This window comes from Homo sapiens, chromosome 9, assembly GCF_000001405.40.
Source record: "Homo sapiens chromosome 9, GRCh38.p14 Primary Assembly".
NCBI classification, from domain to species: domain Eukaryota; kingdom Metazoa; phylum Chordata; class Mammalia; order Primates; family Hominidae; genus Homo; species Homo sapiens.
In genome coordinates this window covers 90080638-90098212 of record NC_000009.12, presented here as the reverse complement: position 1 = coordinate 90098212, position 17575 = coordinate 90080638, and the positions used below count along the sequence as shown (strand labels likewise).

Sequence of the window (17575 nt, the reverse complement as noted above, 5' to 3'; positions counted from 1 at the left end):
CTGCTGGTGGTGGGGGGTAATTATTACTGAGCTGATCTTCTTTGGAAAGGACAATGGAAAAATCTGGCCCCAATCCTTTAGCCTGGGGCATCTGATAAGAAGGTTCTGGGACAGGTTGATAATGAAGTTCTTCCAGATATAAATGCGAGCTGGTTTACAGACAAGCAAGGCGTTGGAAGAAAGGAAGGATACACCCACAAACACCTAGGTGCCTTTGTGGCCTGGAGGGGTTACAATGCCCAAGAGCACACTTTGCTTGCTGCTGTATGGGTCTCTGGGAGCCCCACTTCCTCCTCTATAAAATGGACACATTGCCTTACCTACCCCAAGAGCATTAGGAGAATTAAGTGAGATCATGTGCCTGGGAAGGCTTTCTAAGCTAAAGCAGCGTCTGCTGATGCTGCCGGCATGGACAGTGTTTTCTGGGAACCGCTGTTGCTCTGGCATCCCCTCATCCGGGCTGATGCCTGCTCTTTCCTCCTCACCTTCCAATAGCCTCTCGGAGCTCAGCCTGCAACCCAGGGAATCTGGCATTTCTGCCAGTTGGAGGGCACAGTGCATGAGCATCCACCCCCCGCCAGCTCCCTATGCCAATGGCCCCCCAGTCCATCGTCCAGTCTTGCAGGAGTTATTCTGCAGGCTCCTGGCTGCTGGCATGGCCCCTTGGTCTTGTGGAAAGTGAGACAGCATAAGCCACAGCAGCTCTGCAGAGCTGGGGTGTCAACACTTAACTGTTCTAATAGGAACACTGAGAAACTTGCCCCTGAGTGGCCTCTCGGTTCCATCCCTAGTGTGCATTTGTTTATTTTGGAGCCTGGGAGACAGCAAGCACTGTGCTCGTTCACCCACATTCTGGGCCTGGGCGCATTGTGCCAATGTTACCCCTTACCTCGGAACAAGCCTGCTGGTGCCATTGTTCCTTTCGTTTAGCCCTGGGGACGCAGCATGTCCCCATTAGCTGGACACAAAACCAAGGCTTGAAAGAAGGGACCTCCTTACTCTGCAATGCTTCTTGGCTGCTCCCAAGTGAACCTGACCTTTTTCCTTACTTATTTGTGTCACAGTCTATACATATCCGGTTTCCTCTTACTCCAGGGTCAGGCCGCAGGTGAGATGCCCTGGCTTGGACACATATAGATACACTGAACACGTTTGTTAGACTCTAGACACTATTTATCATGGAAGGGAACTTGTTCTCCCAGAAAGGCAGCTCCTGACTTCTCGCTGCCCTCTGAGGGGCTGCCAAGCATGCCAAGACATTCAGGTCTGCCGCCAAGGTTTCTTTTCAAGACAGACACCTGTCTACAGAGCTGTGGTTACTCAACTTCTCCACCCCATCAGGCGCCAAAGAGCAGTTCCCATAACTTCAAGTTCCGGAGACCAACAGGGCATCTAGAAAAACTACCTGTGTATGCATCATTGGAGGGATTCACATCTCCTTCAAGGTGCTATCTTCAACCATACAACTCTCAAGCGCAGACCATGCCCTCTTCCCTGCTCAACCAGGGAAAAGCAATCATCTGGAAGGCACTGGACCTGCTTGGAGCCATGGTTGATATAAAATGAGGTACAGGAGAATTTCACTCCTCTGAGGTGTCTTGCCTGGGGTGTAGGTAACTGTGTGGCCCCAGTGCACACACAGGCCAGTTTGCAAACTGTGTGAGCTCTTTCGGACAACTCACACTGAACTTATTTGCATATTGAACAGAAAAAGATAGTTTTCTTCCCCTCTTATTCAGCTTTTTTCCCACACATTCAAACAATAATAATACATTAATAGTAATGGTGTTTGTGTGACCTAACTCCAGCAAAGAAACTCAAGCAAAGGGGAGAAAGGTGGACAGGTGTACCCCAAGCTCGCCAGCCGAGCAACTGCTGTCTTCCCCAGGGCTGCTCCAGGACGTCTTCTGATTCCGTGAGGGGGCAGGGTCCTGAGTCACAGCCCCCCTGGGGGCCTCGCACCTATCCAGGGCTTGGAGGGCATCTGCAGGTTTGACTTTTTCTGAGACATCCCTGTTCAATGTTAAATAGGCTCTACATAAGAAAACCAACAGTGTGCAGGATGTAGTCCTCATTGTCACTAATAATTGCTACCAAAACAGAGAAAGGTGTCAGTGCCAAATTTCCTGAGAGTTATATTAAGATCAGAAGTGTCTTTGTGCAACACTTCTCTGCGAGTGTCCACAGGCAGTGGGACAGAGCTAGGGAGGAAGAGGACCTCGGGGCAGGTGCTGGGTAGCACCTGTCAGACTTGTGTCTCAGCAGCGACAGAGCGGCAGCCGGCGCGGTTTACTGTCGCGGGCAGAGAGGAGCTGTTCACGGCTGCTAGCTTAGTAATTTGTAGATAATGAGCTCCTGGTAGAAGCCTGTGGGTTTCAGAGCATATGCTTCAACAGATGGGCTGGCCTCAGCAAGGGTGGGGGTGCACTTGGACCTGTCAATCACTGGCTTCCAGCTTCCGGGAGGGAACAAGCCTGGGAGAAGGCAAAGTTAGCTGCAGAAGCACAGTTTCACACAGGCTGGCCATGGCCCACAGTGATCCCCTCACCTTGCAGGAGCGCCTGGAGCCCTGGGCTCAGCTTCAGATCAGTCCTAAGTCATTTCATGAGGGGAAAACTCTTCACTAGATCTATGGTTCTCCAAGTGGGTCCCCAGATGGGGAGCAGCCCCAGTAAACCTGTCAGATATGTGAATTCCAGCCACTCCACACCTGGTGGGTGGGAAACTCGGGTAGGTCCCTCAATCTGTGTTGGAACAAACCTCTCAGAGGATTCCCAGATGAGCTGAGGTTTGAGAAGCACTGAACAAGCTCATTATCCACATAAGGCCCAGAAGTGTGTGATCTCCTCCTTTCCACCCTGATTTCTTAAGCCCAGTGTATTGTTGGACACAAAATGTGATCCAAGTGGAATTTTTAGAGGGGCTGTAGAAGGAAAGGGACTCTGTGAAATAATTTCAGCTTCACTCCTCAAACTTATTTCAGATTGTATTAAATCCTCAAACATTGTATTAAATCCCAGAAAGAGAACATCTGGTAGGGGAGGTTATTTTCCACACTCAGCAGCAGGACCAGCACCTGCCCCTGCAAGACCCCTAGAAAAGCAAACTCTGGAAAGAAATAAAGGACTAACTTCAGCTCAGTCTTGAATTTGGGAATACTCCTTTTATTAATAAAACAAGATTAAACCTACAGTGCTATGGATCTTGCTAATTAGAAAATCGGAGCAAAGAAAAAAAACATCAGAAAACAAGCAAACAAAAAACCCAAATAGTTACTGAAGAAATTGTTGCAGAATCAGTGCTCTAGGTTGGATTGGTGAGACTTTCATCACTAACCCTGCAGCATCGGAGTCCTGCAGAGGCTGCTGCAGAGGCTGCTGCAGAGGCTGCAGGCCGTTCTCAGGCACAGGCTTTGGTTTAGCCCTGGGGACGCAGCATGTGCCCATTAGCTGGACACAAAACCAAGCCTTAAAAGAGGGGACTGTCTTACTCTGCAATGTTTCTTGGCTGCTGTCAAGTGAACCTGACCTTTTTCCTTACTTATGTAAGGGTCTGGTGGAGACCCTGAGCCGACCCAGGGTCAGGAAGCTCCTGCTACCCGCCCCCCGCCCACCCCGGTCCCGCCGCCCCACAACCCCACCCCAAGCAGGGGACATGCCCACTGCCTTGGAAGTCGAGAGAGGGACAAGAATGATATGGCGCTATATGCCAAATTGGCTTTTATTAGGTGAAGTGTTTCCCCTAGTCAGTTATACTGACTGAGCTTTTAGGTTCTTCATCTGTAAAATGGAGCTATTAATACCGCTTTCAAATACATTTTGCGGGCGTTAAATGAGACGTGCTGCAGGTAGCATCTGGCCCAGACTGATGCCGCGGTTTTGAGAATGTGGGTTGCCACCCATTAGTGGAAAGGAAAATCAATCCAGTAGGTCATTGTTCGAATTGATTTGTTGTTGTTGATTCTAAATGATTTACTGGGGGTTTGTATTTAAATCTTCTGTGTCATATTTGATGTTAACTTTGTTATAGTTTTTCTTTATCATACATAGTGAGGGTAAGCTTTTCATGACACTTTTGTTTCCATTGTATCTCATACACAAATGTATTTCTTACTTGGGGCTGTAGATCCCAAAAATGGAAAAATATTGTATTAGGTGGACAATAAATATTTGTCTCTTTCCTCCTTCCTTCTTCGTCCTTTCATCTGTCCCTCAGAAAGTCAGCGTGACCACCTCTGTCCCTCTGGCATCAGTGTTAATGGTGGATGCAGTGAAACGGAGGGAGGAGTCATCTTCACTGGGTCAGGGTGTAGATCATTACCTCGGCATGCAGCATGGCTGTTTCTCGGCTCTACGGAAGGGAAGTCGTGGGCCAGCACACCACATGTACCCAGCCAGCCCCTGAAGGGCCGGTGGGACCACAGGGGGCCCCAGAGCGAGGAACTGGGAGTGCTAGTGGGCAGCTTATGGATAAAGAAGAAGGAATGGGGTACCCGCCTTACTTACTTTCTTGCCATAGCATCCTACCATGCAGGTAGTTAGAAAAGAGTCCAAAACTCAGAGGACATCAGGAGGTAATGTTGTATGACAGAGAGTGTCTGTGTGTGTGTGTGTGTGTGAGAGAGAGAGAGAGAGACATGTGAGGGGTGTGAGTGTACGTGAAGGAGGCCAGGGAATTCTTAGCTAGGGCTGCATGGGGAATTCCAACTAGTGCTGCATCACCTGTCTTAGTGTTTGAAGAAAAAGCAAATATGAGTGGCCTGAACAGACAAAAAATGGAATGGATGGATGGGTGACAGCCCGAGATGAAGGGTCACTGGGCTGCAGGGGCACGAGCCCATCTAATTAACTAAAGACCCTGTGTTGCCAACACTCTCAGAAATAGTGACTGCCCCTGGATGGTGGCTTCAGCCCCTCCCCCTACCCCAGCCCTGCACAGCTGGGGACACAGGCCCAGCTGTCACAGCACACTGGCCTTCATTCCACTGAACAATGACCTTGACTCCTGGGAGCAGGAGCCACAAAGATTTAATACATGTCCCACTCTCCTCTTGGTGGGCCGGCAACCTTCCAGCATGGACATACTGCCGGAGCTGCCGCTCTGCCACTCCCTTCCCTTCACTTCCAGGGAAGTCGTCCCTCTCCTGTTGGTACAGTGGAGTCAGCTGGGCCTGGAGCCATGGAACAGACCATGGTCATTTGGGCAGAAGCTTCCTCCCTCCTCCTCTGCTGCTGGTCCATGGTGCAACTCCCCAGGCCTTATTCCTAAGAACTACGACCATCTATCTGGCCTGAGATGCCAGAAGGGAAGCCTGCTTTCCAGAGAATGCAGCTGGTGCCTGACCTTGTCCAGCTCCCCTAGGCTGGGCTGCGGGGCAGGACAGCATCCAGGTGAGCAGCTGAACAGCTGCTTCTGTAGCCCCTTTCTCACAGCTCAGGGCAAGCTGTGTTTTATGACTGCTGCGGAAACCTAGCACCTTGAAGATGGTGGCAGGAGACCTGGTAAGATGTTCCTCCCCACTCCGGGGCGATGCTTTTCAGGGGTTTGAGGTTTCTCCCTTTGTGGTTTCTACTAGAAGCCTGGGGGAAGCAGGATGTCTAGACAGAGGGGGAAATACATATCTTGTTTTCCTTTTATTCTTTTTTATTTCCTTTTTATTCTTTTTCTTTCTTTTGGCAGTTGGAGTTCAAAAGAAATAAATTGATATATATCTGAAGACAAAAGATCTTACCCAATACATTTTCATTGCAAAGGCATTCTGAGAAACATTTTGGGGAGAAACTTACGAAACTGTGATGGACTTACATTAAGCATTTTAAAAATGATCTGAATAAGTTAAAGTCACATCTTAGAACTTGCATTTTCCTCTTCTCATCCCATCAGAGTGTATGTTAGCTAAACTGGCAATTGACTTAGACTTTGAGATGGGAGTTAAGCTAAAACCAGACTTTGCTTTCAGGGCTGCAGATGACACACTGATATTACGACTACTTTCTGAAACCCCATTGTAAAAATCCCTTCAGTTTTAATATCCAACTCCACTTTTTTCTTAAAAAATGAATCTGAATTTTTTTGCATGGCACCCAAGAACACTTCATTATGAATCCATCCATTCAATAATATGAATGGAGTGGTGTTAACCCTTGTAATTCCAGCAACCTCCCTCATTAGCAGTGTGATGAAAACATTAGGACATCGGCTTACAATCTTGGTGGTACATCAGAACCACCTAGAAAGCCACCTAAAATTCCCAATGTTTAGGTAATCTTACCTCTGGGTATTTCCCTAAATAATTTTTTTTTGGGGGGGATGGAGTTTTGCACGTCGCCCAGGCTGGAGTGCAATGGCACGATCTTGGCTCACTGCAACCTCTGCCTCCCAGGTTCTAGCGATTCTCCTGCCTTAGCCTCCTGAGTAGCTGGGATTACAGGCAACCACCACCACAGCTGGCTAATTTTCGTATTTTTAGTAGAGACGGGGTTGCACCACCGTTGGCCAGGCTGGTCTCGAACTCCTGACTTTAGGTGATCTGCCCGCCTAGGCCTCCCAAAGTGCTGAGATTACAGGCACGAGCCACTGCGCCTGGCCTGCCCTAAATAATTGAAAGCAGGGACTTGAACAAATATTTGTACACCCATGTTCATAGCAGTATTATTTACAATGAACAAAAGGTGAATACAACTCAGGTGTCCATAGATCAATGAATGGATAAACAAAATGTGGTCTGTCTATACGATGAAATGTTATTCAACCTTAAAAAGGAAGGAAATTCTGACACATCCTACAACATGGATGATCCTTGAGGACATTATGTTAAATGAAATAAACCAGTCACGAAGAGACAAATATTATATGATTTTACTCATATGAGATACCTAGAGTAATCAAATTTATAGAGACAAAGTATAATGGAGGTTGCCAGAGTCTAGTGGGAGAGGAGGATCAGGATTTGTTATTTAATGGGTACGGAGTTTCCAATGGGTATAGAGTTTAGTTTCGCAAGATAAAAATTGTTCCAGACTCGGATTGTGGTGACAGTTTCACAACAATGTGAATGCACTTAATGTCACTGAACTGTACACTTAAAAATAGTTAAAATGGCAAATTTTATGTTATGTGTATTTTACCACAATTTTTGAAAACCTAATGTTTAGTCCCTACCCCTGATTAATTTGATTCCTGGAAACAGATCCCAGGTACCAGGCTCCAATGTACAGCCTAGATGGGGAGCTCGTGCCTCAGGTGATTTCACGGCTATGAGAGGTCAGCGGGTTTCCATGGGGCTGCAGTGGAGTTGAGGAGGCTTGCCTTGAAGAAGCTGATATGCTGCAAATAGGTAAAACAGAGGAATTCCGACCAGATCTCTGGATTACTTGTGGAAGTATTAAGGTCTTCTTTGGGGGTCCACTTCTGAATTTACATGGATATTCACCCTCAGTTACCTATGGTCACTTGATTTAATGAATGTGTGTTGAGGACCATGATGCTCCCACAAAGACCCCTGCCTGCATCCTCGTCAGGGAGACAGACAGAGTTTAATATCTATGCAAGTTTACACAGTACACTAAAAGGTGGTAACTTTAATGAAAAACATTGAGCAAGTTAAAGGGAATTAGGAATGGGAAGATAAGGTGGTAGAATGAGGCAGTTATTTGGAGGTTATTATTTTTAAAGGGGAAATTTTGACTGGATACTGTAAGGCTAAAGACAAGAGGTTTTAATTACATAAAACCAGTACTCTACAGGGTTTATGTAGAGTTAATTACATAGGACTGTACTCTAGTGAATACATTTGTTTCTCACAGGAGTAGAGATTAGCGATTCTGAAACAACTTTACCTGTGTACTAGAATTAAACAGGTGAGTAAATAAATTATAGATCATGAGACCCAGGATTCTTACCCACAGAGAAAGAAGTTACAAGTAAGCAAGAGGGGAAGAAATGCTAGGATAAACTCTATTCTTCTGGTTTGCAGTTGGAGATATTAATATGAATTCTGTTTATTTTAATGTGTCTACAAATGAATATACAGAAATAAATACATATGTATGTTTACACATGGGTTAATATACATACACTTTTTTTTTTTCTATTTCTGCCTGCTGAGAGGACTTAGAAACTGTGACATCCTAGTAGCAATAAGCACACACCAGCACCTAGAATTTGGTGTCTAAAATCATTCTCCAATAAAAAGAACCAGGACTCCACAGACAATGTCTGATGCTAGGGCTGGGGAAGGGAAAATAGAAGGTGAGCTTGGAGCATCTTATTGTGCCAGAAAGTGAGCAAGTGATTTAAAACAATTGGAGGTTGGAGGTGGTCATAGGAGTATTTCAAAAGGAACAAACCTGAAGGAGCTACCAATGGTCATAGCTGCAACAATTTTAGCAAGAAAAAGAAATGATTATTGTATTTGATTGTAACCCAAAGAATAAAATAAATAGCCATGAGTTCATGTTGATATAAATAAATGACTACATAAGTAAGATGGGAGAGAAGAAACACATTTTTCCTATTGAATAATTCCAATTAATAAATGCAAGAGGATTGAGAGAAATGGAAATCACCACGAGAATCCCACAGCCATAATTGCAGCAGGGAAGACCCACTGATGAATGCTTGATATTTCCACAATCTCAGAGTATTTACCCCCAAATATTTCCTAATTACTGTGGTAGTTTAAAAATATCTCCCCAAATACTTTAGCATTCTTCTTTTCTGGAACTGAAACTTAGTTGCCCTCCCCTAAGGAACAAAGCATGGTAAGGGAAAAATAGTGACTTTTCAGTGGAGAATAGTGACTTTTCAGTGGCTGACACCACCTTAACCAAGTGATGCGGGTGAACAGGCAAACAAGTGAAGGGGTGAACATGACATTAACATCACAGGTGGTTGATATCATTCACCCCTTCATGTATGATGATAAAAGGCAGACAGACACAGCCCCCCTATGGAATTCTCCCTCAAGATTCACGACTTCTGTGGCACCACGAGAAAACAACAGACAACCCCAGTATGAGGGAAAGTCTGCAAAATACTTGATGAGTATTATTCAAAAGTATCAAGGTCACAAAAAACCCTGAGGAACTGTCACCAATTCCAAGTGACTAAAGAGACATGACTACTAAATGTGGTGTAATATTCTGGATGGGACTCCGGAAGAGGAAAAGGCCAGAGCAAAAAGCTGGTGAAATCTGAATAGTCTGTAGTTTAGTGAATTGTGTTGTATCAATGATGAGTGCACCGTGGTTTTGTGAGATGTTGACATTAGAGGGAGCTTGGGAAGGACCAGAAATTCTCAGCACTATCTTGTAACCCTTTTGTAAATTTGAAATTATTTCAAAACAAAAAAGCTACATAAAAAGAGAAGGAACCACTGGCCTTACGGAGATTTTGACAAGTAATAAAAAATAATTGCCTGCATGAGGCCAGACTTCCGCATGAGAAAGCCCAAAGGCTGGTTCCAGATGCTCCTCTGTGAGACCAGGCCGGCCTGACCCCTTTTGTGTGGCTCTGTGGCAAAGGCTGACAACTGTGCCTCTGGTGATGGGTGAGAGAAAATGAAGGCGGAGGGACAGGTTTCTTTCCACCACAAAGCTGAATCAGGGCTGGACCACGGCCCCTTCCACAGCAGTGAGTTCCAACAGCACAAATGCAATCTGTAGACATTTTCTTGGCTGGAAAAGAATCAGGTCCAACTGGAGGCACCTGTCAACTTGAGCTGATTACAGATCAAAACGGGATGGTTGTGGACTCCTGAAACTGCTGTTGGGGTTTTCAGTTTAGTCTTGGTGTCTTCACGTTTTTTTCCTTCTGATTTCATCTCTACATCTCGGGCAAAGTAATCCATCCACAGCAAGGAGCAGATGCACCCTGCTGGCTAGTAGAGAGACGCCCTCACTCATCAAGATAAAAACCAAACTGCAGGAGAGGACTGCTGCCATCTTGACATAAGCATTGCTTTAAGTTTGACCATCAGTTTCATCTACATGAATTTCATGTAGACATAACCTTGTAGAAGACTACAGGGGCAGAGGAGGGCAGTCAGGGTTGGGGGAGGGAAGAGACAGCTCTGATGACCTGGAAAAAGATTCATTGGTAAGCTGGGTGCGGTGGCTCACCCCTGTAATCCCAACACTCCAGGAGGCCGAAGTGGGCAGATCACGAGGTCAGGAGATCGAGATCATCCTGGCTAACACGGTGAAACCCCGTGTCTGCTAAAAAAGACAAAAAATAAGCTGGGTGTGGTGGCACATACCTGTAATCCCAGCTACTTGGGAGGCTGAGGCATGAGAATCGCTTGAACCCAGGAGGCAGAGGTTGCAGGGAGCCGAGATCTCGCCACTGCACTCCAGCCTAGGCAACAGAGTAAGACTCCGTCTCAAAATAAATAAATAAATAAAATTAAAGTTTCATTGGTGATTCTAGGATTTATCAAGATACCATCTTTCCTCTTCCTCCCAAAAGATTACTGAGTGTAGACAGTCATTGACATCATATCTGTAATGGAAAGGATACAGGAACACAGGAGACCTGGCTCTAGTTTGAGCTTTACGGCAACCTGTGTCTCTGGATAAAGACCTCAACTTTTCTAGGTGTCATTTTCTCACCTATTAGCCAGCAGGGTTGAATAATGGTAACTTCTGGGGCCTTTCTCCTGGTATCTCAGGTATAATTTTAGGAACCCGTGATGGGACTCAGTGGAGTTATAAGCAGAAAATTAATGAGTATTACAGATTCTATCTAGCCCATTCTATCTAAAGTGATTAATGCACACTGTACACTACACACAAAAATAGAGGTGAGTTAATGCAAGCACTTTCTTTAGAATTTCTCAGTAAGCCCAAGATGAAAGTTGGCAGAACATTTATAAAATTTTTCCGTATGATGTCAACAGCCCTTCCTTCCTTCCTTCCCTCCTTTTCTTTTTCCTTCCTTCCTTCCCTCCTTTTCTCTCTCCTTCCTTCCTTCCTTCCCTCCTTCTCTTTCTCTCTCCTTCCTTCTTGCCTTCCTTCCTTCCTCCTTCCATCTCTCCCTCCCTCTCTCCCTCCCTCCCTCTCTCCCTCTCTCTTTCTCTTTCTTTCTCTCTCCCTTTTCCTTCCTTCCTTTTTCTTTCTTTCTTTCTTTCTTTCTTTTTTTCTTTCTTTCCTTTTCTCTTTCTTTTTTTTTTGAGATGCAGTCTTGCTCTGTTGCCCAGGATGGAGGGCAGTGGCTCAATCTTGCCTCACTGCAACCTCTGCCTCCTGAGTTCAAACAATTCTCGTGCCTCGGCCTCTTGAGTAGCTAGGATTGCAGGCTTGCCCCACCATGTCCCACTAATTTTTGCATTTTTAGTAGAAACGGGGTTTCATCATGTTGCCCAGGCTGGTCTCGATCTCCTGGTTTCATGTGGTCTACCTGCCTCCACCTCCCAAAGTGCTGGGATTACAGGCGTGAGCCATCGTGCCCAGCCAGTCTTTCCTTTCCTAACAAGCAAATATGTGGTATGTGTGTGTGAGTGTGTTAATCAAGTAGGTCAGTTTATTGCTGTCTGACAACCTCCTAGAACTGACTCTTACATAAGCAATGTTGAATCCTTTGGGTTCAAAAAGCATGATTCTAAATCTGAATGATTGGTTTTGGCCTCCTTTCTTTTCTAAGACAAGAGACAGCCCTCTAATTATAGCATACCACAATAAGAAAATCAGCCTAATTAATTTAGTTGAAAATTAATTACCTTTCTGTACCCAGGACAGGGAGTGAAAGGCTTTGCTCTCAAAAGACCACCCCTCCCACCCTGACTGAGGGCTCTAGGGACAGGATGAGGAGGCACACCCCCACTGGGCCAGGCTGCCACCCCAGTACCATATGGGCTAGAATGACTTATGGGGTAAAGAGACATGAAGCACAGGAGCCCATCACAGAATGCATGGCTGGGCCCTGCTGGGCCGTTGAGCAATATTGTGCTTGCTGTGTGTGCAAAGCAGCAAGGCAAGAGGAAGCTTGGCTGAAATCAGCGCAAAATGCAAAAACACTTCCTTAGTGACCTGGCTTACCCTCATCAACATGTGAATTCTTATTGTTAGCAAAGGGTTCCAGGGTGCTCTCAAACATCAAACACTGCACAGATACCAAACCCACACTTTGACAAGTGTTAAGGAGAAACAAACCAAAACCATTTGCTCATAAAACACAGATGGATTGAAAAGACTAAGAGGAAAATAATCTGGGCAAAATACAATTGGAGTTAGTAAACACAGCACATGCAAAAACTGTTTGAGACACTGGGAACAAAAAGACTAGGGTCAGATCACCCAGCCCTGTTGTTAAACCTCTTATCTCCTCCACGAACAGCCAATGGCAGTGCAAATCCCACGTAAGGCAGGGTGCATTGCCCATTCAATAAAGGAAAGCCTAGGATGTGGGCCACTGTGGGGCAGGAAGACCCTTCAGAAGCACAGTGCATGCACACAAGGTACTTCCAGTATGCAAGGGACGGCTGTTTCCAGCCCACCATGCCTGCCACTCATTTGTGTCCACTGTATTCCTATCAACTTATGGCGTTTATAACTAGACCAGAGGAGGGTCTAATAAATTTCAGTCTGAAAAGAGAGTCATGTAAAACAGTTATGAGAATTGCTAGATTTGGAGACCATTCTTCAAATATATCTCTTTCAAAATATTTGTGGTATTCTTAAGCATTGGGCAATGTTTTAACATTTGAGTCTCAACTTTACAACTCGCTTATTGGGAGGTCCTTGCATTTACCAATATTTTAGCCATTATGAAAATAGAGTCTGGAGGGCATTTTCCTTAATATCCTTCAAGATATATGCTATTTTATCAATTATTTACTCAGAGTAATTACACCAAGAAATCATTGCCCTTCATCGTTTTAATCCTAAATAATAACAAATGCATGGATTCACTTTGGAAGAATGTCTCAAATTTTATAGTGAAAAAACTCCAAACATACAGTCAGTAGGAATGCTAATATTTACCCTCAGCAAACCATTTGACATTCCAGATTAACTAAAATAATATGGTGGCTTAAAGTTGTAGATAATTTGATTATTTTGTGACTGTTTTCCTGCAACAAAAATAAACTTAGGTATCAAAATTGATGTACATTTTCTCATCAATAGTCTGAGAGCTATTTTGAAAATGAGCTACATACAACTCACTGTACTTGCTATACTCAACTCTACTTGCTACAAACTGCCCTCGTTACCACTTGTTCTGTAATCCAAACTGCTCTGTCACCATCTGTCAGCAAGGAGGTGGCTTGTTGAGGTTATAAAGCAGCAGGAGGCAGGACAGTGCTTAAGATAATCAGAACCTGCTGGGCGCGGTGGCTCACGCCTGTAATCCCAGCACTTTGGGAGGCCAAGGCGGGTGGATCACTTGAGGTCAGGAGTTCAAGACCAGCCGCCCAACATGGTAAAACCCGTCTTTACAAAAATACAAAAATTAGCCGGGTGTGGTGGCGCTGTAATCCCAGCTACTGGGGAGGCTGAGGCAGGAGAATCGCTTGAACCCCGGAGGCAGAGGTTGCAGTGAGCCGAGGTTGTGCCATTGCACTGGGCGACAGAGTGAGACTCTGTCTCAAAAATAATAATAATAATAATAATCAGAACCTCCAACCCCACACCCAAAATACATTATTTTATTTCTATTCTTCCTAATAAGTCTTAGATATTTATCCTACTGTATGGTCTAAAATCATCCGTCCTCAGAGCTGCCCCATCTCCTTGGAAAAGAAATGTAACCAGAGACTGGGGTTCTGATTGAACTTGCACTTGATCCTGAGGAATCCCTTAAGAAAATGGATGTTACAATCCCACATTTAGGTTGATGTTGTTATCTGTTTGATCTCTCTTTACAAATGCTACTTCCCACCATGCTCCTTCCTCCATTATTTGACACATATTTCTTGTACTTCAAGAGGCAGCTCAATATTCAGTTCTAGGAAAAATGTTCACGGTTCTATTATCTCATTCTAAGTTAGAATTTTTCTCATGTGCTTATATAAGGTGTGGTGCTTACCTCTATCTCAGTACTTAACGTATCATTTTGGAAATGGCTATTTGTTGATTTTACCCACTAATTTCAGTGGAAGTCCAAAGATAAATCATTTATTTCTGGAACTTTATGCATAAATAGTACTGAGCTTGGACTGAAAGCCTCGTAAAGGCAGCCATGCTGAGCGGCTCACTCCTGCCATATCCCTACGCCTGGTCTATTCCTTGTCGTTTGCCAGACACTGAACACATTTTTATCCAATGAATTAATGAAGTTGCACTTAGTATGAAAAGCATAATATACTTTATAATTGATGCAGGCATAATTGCACAAATCTCTTGTAGGAAAAGCTATCCTACAGCAGAGGTTGGCAAACTATAGCGCAATTGCTGCTTTTGTATCCTCTCCAGAGAAGAACCATTTGTGCATTTTCAAATGGTTTTTTTTTTAAAAAATCAAAATGAGAGTAACATTTTATGACATGTGAGAATTACGTGGAATTCAAATTTGGTGTCGATAAGTAAAGTTTTATTGGCACACAGTCTTGTTCATTCACTTGTGTACTGTTCATGGCTGCTCGCCCAGGGCAACGCTAACAACAGGGCTGAGCAGCTGCGGCCAAGACCAGATGTGCGTTCTCCTTGCCTTGCACTCTGGTGCACTACAAATTGCAGTGACGGCCTTCCAGCGCTGCTTGCGATGCCATCCTATGGCATTTTAGTCATTTAATTTCAATGCATCTTCTTACGTTTGCCAAGAGAAGAGGAGAAAAGCGGACTCCAAAAGTCACACTTTCAAGCCAGAGTGGAGTGTAGATCATTTTGTTATGAGATTAGAAGGCAAAGCATGTCTTTGTTATGCAATGATCTTATAGCTGTGCTAAAGAGTATAATATACACTGACTTTACCAGGCAGAGCACTTAGCATGGTATTCCCAACTGCAGGCAGAAAACTGATAAAATTTAAAATAGAATAATACCTTTTCCAGAAAGAACACTTGTTTGAAGAGTTGAGAACATTGAAAGGAGCCTCGAACGTTAACTAAAAAGCAAGGTAAAAAAGTATAAAAGTATTATAAGCAATTATAACAGGCAAAATTATAAACTATTAGATGATGATGGAAGTTATCTGTATCAGCTTGGGGATGAGAAAGCTCTTTAAACAAGACTCAAATTTTACAAACTCATAAAAATATTTAAAATGTTCTACTTCATTAAATGAAGAACTTAGATTGTTCAGAAAATACTAGAATATCATTATAAAATAATGCAAATTAAAATTATACCTGTTAGACTGGCAAAAAATCAACATTTCGTATCTCACTAATAGGTCAAGACTGGGAAGAAACAGGTCCTCTTTTTCACTATTGATGGGAAAATAAATTGGTCTAGCCAAGTCACTTTACAAAGTGAATTTCAAGATGTTTTCCTGCATTGTCAGTACCCGTCACTGCTCCAAGTTATGGGAGTGGGAAATCGCACTGACCCCTACTGAGCCAGGCTGGGCGGGGCCAGAGGGAACCGAATGGGGGCTGCCCCCTGTCCTGAGCCCACCTGCCCACCTGTCACCCTGCCTCTGCCTCCTGGTTCCCACCAGTCCATCCACCTCTCTGGGACCACTGGGCATTAGCCAAGAAGGAAGCATGCTGGCCATCAGCTGAGTGCTGCTGGCCACACTGCGGGCAGTGCTGGCCCAAGAGGCTGCCCTACGCTGGAGGCAGTGAGTGATGTGCTGACCAGGATACTGCATTCCCCTGACCTGTCCAGAGGGAGAACCTGAAAATCATGCCACTGTCCACTGGTTGCACAGGACTCCCAGCGCAGGCTCACGCCCCAGCAGATGGGCTGGTGTGGGAAGGAGGCTGCTTCTGAGGTTGGTGCAGCTCTGCGACTCTGGAAACTATTCTTGCTGCCGGGCTGGCTGCCCAGCAGGTCTGTGCTTTGTTGGTGGATGTTTCTCCTGAGGAGCCTCAGCTCTCCTGCTTCTGGAAGAGCCCCCTCAGTGACATTGGTTGTGAATAGAGTCCTTGGAGTCAAGGTTCTGAGTCAAAGCTGTGCTATTGCTGAGAAAGTTTCAGAACTGTCAGGCAGAACTCTTCCAGGAGCCGTGTCAGTATTCTCAGGAGTCCCAGAAGTTCTGCCAGTTGGCAGTGCCAGAGGGAGATTACTCTTTCTATACAGTGTCCCTGTGTGTCACCAACAGTATTGGGAGCAAGTTCAGCAAAACCCAAATATTAGAGGGTTATGGAATCCTGCAGTCCGACCCACCTGTCAACATCACAGTCATTGCTGTGGCCAGAAAGCCCTGCTGGCTCAACGTCACCTAGCAAGACCCCCACTCCTGGAACTTATATTTCTACAGACTATGGTTTGAGCTTTGATACCTGGCTAAATAGTCAAAAATGTTCATAACATGGATGGCCAAGGATCTCCAACATCAGTGTGTCATTCACAACACCTGGAAAGGCATGAGGCACCAGACACAGCTTCAGGCCCAGGAGGAGCTGGGGCAAGGCTTGTGAAGTAAGTGGAGCCCAGAGGTCATGGGAATCCTTTGGGCAGACTCCAGGAGTCCTCCAGCTGAGACCACCTCCATGCAAACACCTACTACTAATAAAGATGATGATAATATTCTCCCCAGAGATTCTGCAAATGCAACAAGCTTTCTGGGTTAAAGAAGACGTGGAAGTTGCAGGGTCTGAAAGAAGATAAGATCAGGATGCACTGGTTGTGTTCTTTGGGGTGGCTGGTCCTAGAGAGACCTAGAACCACCCCAGTGCTTGTTCCTCTCATCTCCCTTCAGTGTCCCCCAGCAGCCTTGGAATGGACACCACCCCCAGCCACGGCTGACCAGATGCCAGGGACCCGTGGAGGCCTTATGACATCAGCAATAGAGATTACTTCTTCCCCATATAGCAGGCCAGGTGGCACCTGGCAGGTTGGGTGCGTAAACCAAAAAAGTATCTGAGACAGCTCCCAATCAGTTTAAAAGTGTATTTTGCCAATGTTAAGAACATGCCTGGAAGAAACAAACACGGAATCATAGAAACAGTTTGGTCTATGTCTTTTTCCAAAGATGCTTTTGAGGGCTTTTGAGTATTTAAAGGGGACAAGCAGGCTGGAGGAGAAAGAGGGAGGTTATGGTCACATAACAGAATTCACATGTGGCAAGAGAAAAGGAGCAGGCAGAGGAATAGTCCATGACATATTAATCTTGGGCTCAGTAAGTCAGCACTTTACATAAGATATGGTGAACATAGAGCAGCTAACTGTGGAGATGTTTCACCTTGATCTGTAGCTGTCTGCTGAGGAACAAAAGGAAAGGCAGCTTCTTGCATGCCTCAGCTTTCTGCTCATGTTTTTCCTTTTGGCACTGTGAACTGGGGTCCTGAGCTCTTATTTTCCTTTCACAGGTGTCAGGCATGCTGCACCATGTGGATGACAGAGTGCAAACAGGCTCAGCAGAAGCTGCCTCTCACTGCCCTACCAGCTCATCTCAGAGCATGGGGCCTTCGGCTTCACTGTTGTGGAAGAGCCTGGCAGAATGTTCTAGGCCACATGAAAATCAGGCTGCT

The 17575-nt window shown here is 45.1% G+C and overlaps 1 pseudogene, besides 4 other annotated features; it reads left to right on the top strand.

Annotated features, from left to right (window-relative positions):
* Positions 2294-2343: a silencer, noted in NCBI's record as "silent region_20019". NCBI's record gives its function as "represses an Ori minimal core promoter by ATAC-STARR-seq in GM12878 lymphoblastoid cells {active_cell/tissue: GM12878}" and the evidence as "EXISTENCE:reporter gene assay evidence [ECO:0000049][PMID:35858748]".
* Positions 2404-2523: an enhancer, noted in NCBI's record as "active region_28569". NCBI's record gives its function as "activates an Ori minimal core promoter by ATAC-STARR-seq in GM12878 lymphoblastoid cells {active_cell/tissue: GM12878}" and the evidence as "EXISTENCE:reporter gene assay evidence [ECO:0000049][PMID:35858748]".
* Positions 4560-4729: an enhancer, noted in NCBI's record as "experimental_108944 CRE fragment used in MPRA reporter constructs". NCBI's record gives its function as "activates a minimal promoter by MPRAs in K562 erythroleukemia cells, with activity observed for the non-introgressed 9:92855851 or rs7857974 variant allele {active_cell/tissue: K562}" and the evidence as "EXISTENCE:reporter gene assay evidence [ECO:0000049][PMID:34662402]".
* Position 4644: a transcriptional cis regulatory region, noted in NCBI's record as "Neanderthal adaptively introgressed variant 9:92855851 (GRCh37/hg19 assembly coordinates) or rs7857974 in the experimental_108944 CRE". NCBI's record gives its function as "modulates activity of the experimental_108944 enhancer by MPRAs in K562 erythroleukemia cells {active_cell/tissue: K562}" and the evidence as "EXISTENCE:reporter gene assay evidence [ECO:0000049][PMID:34662402]".
* On the top strand, positions 15527-16943 carry IL6RP1 (interleukin 6 receptor pseudogene 1; annotated as a pseudogene).